The sequence below is a fragment of the Homo sapiens genome, chromosome 5 (assembly GCF_000001405.40).
Source record: "Homo sapiens chromosome 5, GRCh38.p14 Primary Assembly".
NCBI lineage: Eukaryota > Metazoa > Chordata > Mammalia > Primates > Hominidae > Homo > Homo sapiens.
The window spans coordinates 58,159,180-58,168,244 of NC_000005.10; the positions used below are offsets into that span (position 1 = coordinate 58,159,180).

General features: G+C 41.6%; 1 pseudogene, besides 2 other annotated features; it reads left to right on the forward strand.

Annotated features, from left to right (window-relative positions):
- On the forward strand, positions 1,965-2,631 carry PGAM1P1 (phosphoglycerate mutase 1 pseudogene 1; annotated as a pseudogene).
- Positions 2,836-3,336: an enhancer, noted in NCBI's record as "H3K27ac hESC enhancer chr5:57457842-57458342 (GRCh37/hg19 assembly coordinates)". NCBI's record gives its function as "activates a minimal SCP1, AML or CMV promoter by ChIP-STARR-seq in primed H9 embryonic stem cells {active_cell/tissue: H9 hESC(primed)}" and the evidence as "EXISTENCE:reporter gene assay evidence [ECO:0000049][PMID:30033119]".
- Positions 3,337-3,837: an enhancer, noted in NCBI's record as "H3K27ac hESC enhancer chr5:57458343-57458843 (GRCh37/hg19 assembly coordinates)". NCBI's record gives its function as "activates a minimal SCP1, AML or CMV promoter by ChIP-STARR-seq in primed H9 embryonic stem cells {active_cell/tissue: H9 hESC(primed)}" and the evidence as "EXISTENCE:reporter gene assay evidence [ECO:0000049][PMID:30033119]".

Below are 9,065 nucleotides of genomic sequence, written 5' to 3' on the forward strand. Positions count from 1 at the left end.
CCTTGGTGATATCTCCACCCTGCTACTTCTCAGCTATGTGGTCAAAATAAGTTACTTAGTCAATCTGAGCTTGGTTTTCTCTTATTTAAAAATGGAGACAATAGTACTAACTTCCTCAGACTCTAGTAACTACTACATAAGATAATGCACTAGCATAATCTTGAACACATAATGGATACTCAATAAGAGTGTTTCCATTTGAACAATAGGAACTAAGCTAATTTTCACCAGAATTTTTGTGATAATATGATAACCTGCATCCACTCCCTCTACTCCAGGTTCCTTTATTATTATTGTAAAGTCCTGTGACTAAAACAAGAAAATGACCTCAGAATTCTTAATGAGAGCAGAATTTCCTAGTTGCTATTTCCACCTGGTGAAAAATTAAGAAACTAGAAATGTCACCCAGACTGCTTGACTTATGAGAATCTCAGACTCTTGAACACAGGGCTGCAGACTTCCAAGGGCTCTCCCTAGCCGGCCACATCTTGGCAGATAAGACCACCCATGGGAGTGGACCAGTGCAAGTTGTCCCCTTTGATTCTTTTCCACTAGAGTCTCGCTGACCCTGTACCTTTCCTTTGAGAAAAATTATTAGCAGCATTTTGCAACCATGGCTGAACTGCAGCCTTGAGAGGTCAAAAACTGCAATCAACCCTGTGACATTTTCACCCATATTCCTATAATTACCATGGGAGATGTCACTGTCCAGTGAGACTCTTATGCAATGCTCATGTGGTAGACCATATTTTTTATACTTTCCATTGCTTTTGCTGTTTACATGAGGGCAGGTATGTGTGTGTGTTGCCCGCAGCCTAATTGATTTTAAACCATTTTAAAAATTTGGTGGCTCATGCCTGTAATTCCAGCATTTTGGGAGGCTGAGGTGGGCAGACTACGAGGTCAAGAGATTGAGAGCTTCCTGGCCAACATGGTGAAACCCCGTATCTACTAAAAATACAAAAATTAGCTGCGCATGGTGGCATGCGCCTGTAGTCCCAGCTACTTGGGAGGCTGAGGCAGGAGAATCGATTGAACCTGGGAGGTGGGGATTCCAGTGAGCTGAGATCATGCCACTGCACTCCAGCCTGGTGACAGAGTGAGACTGTCTCAAAAAAAAATTTTTTTTTAAATATATTTCAGATCCTGCTTCTCTGGCCCTGAGCTACTAGTCACCATTGGTCTACCAGTTGAATGTAAAGGGTAAAAGATTCAAAGCACACAAACAGTCTTTGGCTCTCAGCCCCAGCGGCTAGCCTCATAAGATTATCTTGACCTGTTGATTTTCACTTAAGGACCAGATGAAGAAAAGTAAATCTAATAATTGTGTTTCATTGTGTAAGTAAGCTGGGTTTCTATACTGGTCATTAAAATGTATAGGAACAGTCTTTCCATTATTGTTTAGCTACTACCATATGCATAGCATTGTACTTAGTGGGAAATGCTGAGGAAAGACCAGGAGGAATTAAGACTCAAGATTAAAAAGTCATGATTTCTCCACTTTCAAGGGTTTATTCCCATGAATAATTATGGTTCAGTGACTAAAGGGGAAACATGTTGATGGGCCCCTGTTAGCAAATAATTATTGACGTATTCCAGCCCAGCCCTTCCTTAGTCTGTACAAAGATGTAGTGTTATGATTGACAGAGAACCCTACAACAGGTGAGCTACAGAGGTGAAGTTACTTCAGAAATACTTTCAGTAGCAGGAGAATGTAAGCTTTGACATTTTAAAAATTCTGTATTGCATCTACAAAGGCCAGTAAGTAGAAATTATACTTCAGGCTATAGAGTGTGAAAGGAAGACTGGTCACATTTCAGCAGGAATCTGCAAGGATCCTGTTACTAAATTAGTTACTGGGAGAATTATATTTTGGAAGCAAAACTCCAACATTGCTACAAGATGAAAGAAGCTTCTTTGATATGAGAGGAGATGGTTTTGTGTTGTTTAAAGGAAACACAGGGCTCTGGAATCTCTGTGAGCCCTAGTCAGTGCCACATCCCCACCCCACCGCCAAGGCCATGTATAAGCTGGTGTTGACCTGGCAGGATGAGAGTGTCTGGAACCCACCTTCTGTGGCTGGTAGCATGCCAACCTTGAGCCCGGCAAGCCATGAGCAGGCATAGCATGGCGGGAAGCTGCTGTGAGATGTTGGCTACGAGTTCGATATCTTCTTCACCTCAGTGCAAAAGAAAGTGACCTGGACCCTCTGGGCAGTGCTAGATGCCATTGGCCAGAGGTGGCTGCTTGTAGTGAGGACTTGGCACCTCAGTGAGCTGCACTATGGTGGTCTGACCAACCCAATAAACACAAACTACTGCCAAGCATGCTGAGGCTCAGGTAAAGATCTGGAGGTGCTCCTATGCTGTCCTACCACCTCTGAAGGAGCCTGACCATCCCTTCTACAGCAGTGTCAGTAAGGACTGCAGGTATGCAGATCCCACTGAAGATCAGCTACCCACCTGTGAGTCTGAAGGACACTACTGCCAGAGCTCTGCCCTTTTGGAATGAAGAAATAGTTCCCCAGATCAAGGAGGGGAAACAAGTACTGACTGCAGCCCATGGCAGCAGCCCTGGGGAACTTTCATTTGGGGAGGTATCTCCCAGTCAGAAGTCATGGGGATCAGAACCCACTTGAGGTAGTCTGTCCCTTAGCAAAGCTAAAGTGCTGTGCTGGGAGATCCTCTGCTCTCTTCAGAGCTGGCAAGCAGGAATGTTTAAGTCCACTGAAGCTGCACCCACAGCCACCCCTTCCCCTAGGTGCTCCGTCCCAGGGAGATGGGAGTTTTATCTATAAGCCCCTGACTGGGGCTGCTGCCTTTTTTTCAGAGATGCCCAGAGAGGAGGAATCTAGAGAGGCAGTCTGACTACAGTGGCTTTGCTGGCTGCGGTGGGCTCCACCCAGTTTGAACTACCCAGTGGTGGCTTTGTTTACACTGTGAGGGGAAAACCGCCTACTCAAGCCTCAGTAATGGTGGACACCCCTCCCCCTGCACCAAGCTGAAGCATCCCAGGTCGACTTCAGACTGCTGTGCTGGCAGAGAGAATTTCGAGCCAGTGGATCTTAGCTTGCTGGGCTCCGTGGGGTGGGATCTGCTGAGCTAGACCACTTGGCTCCCTGGCTTCAGCCCCTTTTCCAGGGGAGTGAATGGTTCTGTCTCGCTGGTGTTCCAGGTGCCACCTTGGTATGAAAAAAACTCCTGCATCTAGTTCCATGTCTGCCCAAATGGCTGCCTAGTTTTGTGCTTGAAACCCAGGGCCCTGGTGGTGTAGGCATCCAAGGGAATCTCCTGGTCTGCGGGCTGTGAAGACCGTGGGAAAAGCATAGTATCTGGGCCGGAGTGCACCGTTCCTCACAGCGCAGTCCCTCATGGCTTCCCTTGGCTAGAGGAGGGAGTTCCCCAACCCCTTAAGCTTCCTGGGTGAGACAATGCCCCACCCTGCTTGGCTTGCCCTCCATGGGCTGCACCCACTGTCTAACCAGTCCCAATGAGATGAGCTGGGTACCTCAGTTGGAAATGCAGAAATCACCCACCTTCTGCGTTGATCTCTCTGGGAGCTGCAGACCAGAGCTGTTCCTATTCAGCCATCTTGCCAGCCACCCCTTTTCTGTGTTTTAAAACATAAAATTGTAATGTTATTTCCAGGGCTTGTGTTTGGCCTGTGCCTACTCATATAGCTGCATGTCAAAATATTGAAATAGTTTCACAGAGATTGGATCACTGTTGCTGCCTCCAGTTCCCCTAATGCCCTCTCAGAACCTTAGCTGGCCCAGATATCTTCTGTATCCTCCCCTCACCAACCTCCCCATTACAGTTTGCAAAAATGATCACATCACTTCCTTCTCTATCTCCACATCCCTTTGCAATATGACTTGTGTTTTTTTTTCTATCAAGAGGCAGAGTGTCTTTGTTCAGCCCCTGAATATGGTCTGACCTTGAGACATAACTTGGTGAATAGAATGCATATAAAATTAGTTATTCAAATAATAAGCCTAATCCTAAACAAGCCTTGTGCTCTCTCTAGAAAACACACTCCACAATCGTAAGAACAAGCCCATGATACCCTGCTGGGGAATGAGAAACCAAGTGGAACAGAGATGAACCATCCCAACTGAGGCTGCCTCAGACCAGACTGAACTGGCAGCTGACCAAAGATATAGGAGTAAGCCCAGCTAAGATCAGGAGAACCAGCTGAACCTAGCATAAATTTCTGATTCTCAGATTTATGAGCTAACTAGATGGTTATTGTTTTAAGCCTCTGGGTTTAGGGATAGTTTCTTATGTAGACATATTTATTATACATTTGTAATATTGCACATACTTTATAATATTATGTACACAGAAATAAATAATATCCCAACAATCCGGCATTTAAAAGGGTATCAACTGGCGTAACTGAGGTCCTCCAGAAACCTGCTCCCATGCTAAATCTCCATTTTGATTGGTAGATCCCATGATGCAACAATAATTGTATTAGGACGAGAGCATGAGCTTTTTATTTATTTATGTTTTTTTTTTTTTGAGACAGAGTCTCACTCTCACCCAGGCAGGAGTACAGTGGCACAAACACAGCTCACTGGAGCCTCAGTCTCCTGGGCTCCAGGGATCCTCTTGCCTTAGCCTCCCAAGTAGCTGGGATTACAGGCATGCACAACCACATCTGGCTAATTTAATTTTTTTTAATTTTGTTTTTTTTTTTTTGCTAAAGATGTGTTCTTCCTATATTTTCCAAGCTGGTCTGAAACTCCTGGGCTCAACCAATCCTCCTGCCTCGGCCTCCCAATGCCAGCTTACAGCCGTGAGCCATGGTGCCCAGTGGAGAGTGCGAACTTTTACATTTTTAAAATTCTATATTGAGTTTGAGTTTGTGAGTCCGGTAAGTAGAAATTACACTTTAGGCTGTACAGTATAGAAAGATTTGTCACATTTCACCAGATGTCTGAAAGGATCCTGGTACTGAAACAATCCTAGGTATGTAAGTAAAGTATATTATTATTAATACTTGTATGCCTAGCTGTCATAATTAATTTGTTAATTGTAATTAGAAATAATTTGATGATATTTTAGAAAAATTTCTTAAAAGTTTAATTTACTAACTAAAATTTATTTTTAGTAATCACTGTTCTCTCACCAAAGTTAAACAGAAAGAAAAGCTTTCTACTCAAGTTAAATTTCTTTCTAGGCAAAACTGAGTAAAAAAAGAAGACAAATAACGTGAATTCAAAAATGGATAAAAACCAATGAGCTAAAAATTTCAGTTCATAAAAAAACCTCCACATGGATGTTTATAGCAACTTTATTCTTAATTGCCAAAAGATGGAACCAAATAAGGTGTTTTTCAATCGTGAATAAAAAAATACACTGTGGTATATCCAGATAGTGGCATGTTGTTCAGCACTAAAAAGAAATGAGCTATCAAGCCATGAAAGACATGGAGGAAACTTAAATGCTTATTACTAAGTGAAATAAGCCAGTCTGTAATGGCTATATACTATATAATTCCAACTATATAACATCGTGGAAGAGGCAAAACTATGGAGACAATAAAAAGATCAATGATTTCCAGGAATTTAGGGGAATGGGAGATCAATAAGTGGAGCATTAGAGATTTTATGGCAGTGAGACTATTCTATATAATACTATAATGATAAATACATGTTGTTATACATTTGGCAAAACCCACAGAACAAGAGTGAACCCTAATGTAAACTATAGATTTTGACTGACAATAATATAATAAGATTGGTTCATCAGTTGTAACAAACAAACCACACTAGTGTGAGATGTTGTTGGCAGCGGGGGCTGTCTGTGGGGTGGGGGCAGGTGAGTGGTATATGGGAAATTTGTACTTTATATTTAATTTGCCATGAGCCTAAAACTCCTCCAAAACATAAAGTACCTGTCTTTAAAAATTTGATAAAAGACTTGAACATATTCTTTATAATGACTGATCAATGAGAACATGAAAAAAACTTCAACTTTATTAACTCTTCGGAAATGCAAACCCAAAATACAATGAAATACCACCATGCAGCCTCTAAAATGGCCAACATTAAAAAGACCGTCAATACTCAGTGTTGGCAAGGATGTGGAGCATCTAGACCCTTCACACATTACTAGTGTAAAATGACACAGCCACTGTTTCTTGTAAAGTTAAAACATGTGCATACTCAGCAATTCCACTCTTTAGTACTTACCCACGAGAATTGAAAACATATGTTAATAAAAAGATGTGTGTACCAGTGTTCACACCAGAACCCCCAAACTGGAAACAGTCCAAAAGTAGGTACACCAACTGGCAAGTGCATAAACACATTTTAGTATGTTCTTACCATAAATTCTGTTAAGCAATAAAGTAAAATGAACTACTGATATAGGCTGTGACATGGATGAATCTCACAGTCATTATGCTGAGCAAAAGAAGCCATACACACAGTAAAGATGGTGTGATTGCATTTAGATGAAATTCTATAACAGGCAAAACTAACCGATAGTCATGAAAACATGTCAGTGATCATTTGCAGGTGGATGGGAAGGAGAGGAGAGAGATTGAATGCACAGAGGCAGTGGGGAGCTTTCTGGGAAAATGCCAATGTTCTGTATTTGGAATAGGCTAGTGATTATACAGAAGTACATTTGTCAAATATAAGACACCTACCTGTACCATTAAAATGTGCGATATAGTGTATGTAAATTCTGCCTTGATAAATAAGCAGATTTTTAAAAATATTCTTCTGAAGTCAGATTTTAATTCTAGAGACAGAAAAACGTATCCCATGTGCATGGTAGACATTGCTCATCAATTATGATGTACCTTTCAGCTTTCCAGGCATGCAAACACAGTGCTCCAGGCAGCCACCGTGGGCCATTAGGATTAGCCCAGTCCTTGAAACCTCTTTGCCATTCTAGGCTAAGGCCATCCTAGGCTATACCTACCAGATATGCCTATGCCCCAGAACAGGAAGCGTGGCTGGCTTCATAAATGTACAACATATGTGGTCACACAAAGCCCTCACGCTTGCTATGGCCTCATGTCTGGTTTAATGTTCTACTATCATGGTCTTGAAATTCTTAATAGATTTCTAATAAAGGTCCCCTCATTTTCATGTTTCACTGGGTCTTGCAAATTACATAGCCTGGCAGCAAGCCTCTGAATCATAAAGCCCCTGAAACTGGTTCAACTTTAGTTTTTAGTCTTTAATTACGATCTTTGTATCTGTATATACAAAAATAAAATTAATTCCTTAATGCTTTTCTTTCTCAATATCTGGTACTCTTTCTCAGGTCAAAGCAAAATACACTGAAGTATCTTTATTAATTAGGATAGATATTATGTTCTCTTTTGAGTCAAAAAGCAGTAACTGCTAATTTAAATGGGTTTGATTTCCAAAAATCCTTGATTTTTTGTTTTTCCACGGGGCATCTTATAAAAAGGCCAGGCTCTTTAACTACCTAGGAGTTGGAAACACAGGATGGGACATTTGGATGGTGGATGACTCAGTTTGTATTCTTTCTATTTGAATCCTATTCTTTTCATATCTTTAACACCTGTAGCAGGATAAAGTAAAATAATTTTTGTACTGTTATCATGTGTTGAGTTGTGTTTCCCCAAAAGACATTGAAGTCCTAACTCCTAGTACCTGCGAAGGTGACTTTATTTGGAAATAATGTCTTTGCAGATGATCACGTTAAAATGAGATCACTGGATAGTCCTAATCCAATATGGCTGGTATACTTACATAAAGGATAAATTTGGACATACAGAGAGATTGATGCAGAGGGAAGAAAGTGTGAGAGCACAGGGAGAACGCCATCTACAAGCCAAGGAAAACCTGAGACTACCAGAAATTAGAAGAGATCCATGGAACAGATTCTTCCTCAGAGCTTGCACGAAGAACCAAAGATGCCAACACCTTGACCTCAGACTTTCATCCTCCAGAACCGCAAGACAATCAATTTCTGTTGTTGAAGCCACTCAGTTTGTGGTACTTTGTATGGCAGCTCAGCAAACTAATATAGCCATTGAAATTGAAGGGCGGAAATGTATTATAACAAATTCTAAGATAAATTATGGGGCTTTTGTTTTCTTCTCCATTGCTCACCCTTCTACACATAATGTCTTTGTTTCCTCATTACGCCCTTAGTGAATTTTCCTTGGGTTACCATGAAGGTCCAGGAGGTAATTTGATGTGATAACTGTCAGAATGTGGTCCACTTACTGCCTTCATTAAAGTCACGAAGAATGATTGTTTAAAATGCAGGTTTCTGAGTCTGAGAGCACAAGTACAAAATTAGATTATTTGGGAAAGGATAGCCCAGGAATCTGCATCTTTTAAAAGTTCTCCAGGTGATTCTGAAGTAATTAAAGTTTGGAAATCACTGAAGGAATCTTTGGCTGGTTGGCTAGTGCCACAATAGGAAATAATTCACAGATAGTGACAACCTGTGCCTTCTCCTGGGTGTATTTCTATGCTGGAATTAAACGGGAAAGATACCCCTTTCCCATGAAAAAGCTACTTGGTACATTCTTCGTTATCAGAAACAACAGAGGAATTCCTAAAACGAGAACCTTCCTATAAGCCTATTCCTAACCCCTGATATTTCCCAGAAGAAAGAAAAGTGATCAAATAGTTGAACTGTTAATTACGGTAATTTTTTTTTTTTTTTTTTTTTTTTTTTTGAGACGGAGTCTCGCTCAGTCTCACAGGCTGGAGTGCAGTGGCAAGATCTCGGCTCACTGCAAGTTCAACCTCTTGGGTTCACACCATTCTCCTGCCTCAGCTTCCCGAGTAGCTGGGACCACAGGCACCCGCCACCACGCCCGGCTAATTTTTTTGTATTTTTAGTAGAGACGGGGTTTCACTGTGTTAGCCAGGATGGTCTTGATCTCCTGACCTCGTGATCCGCCCGCCTCATGCTCCCAAAGTGCTGGAATTAACAGGCATGAGCCACCGCGCCTGGCCTAATTATGGTAATTTTTAACTTACCCTTTACTACAGAAAACCAGGTTAACACAAAGAGGTTGTTAGCTAGACTTGCCTTCTTAAAATTACTTTAGGGCAG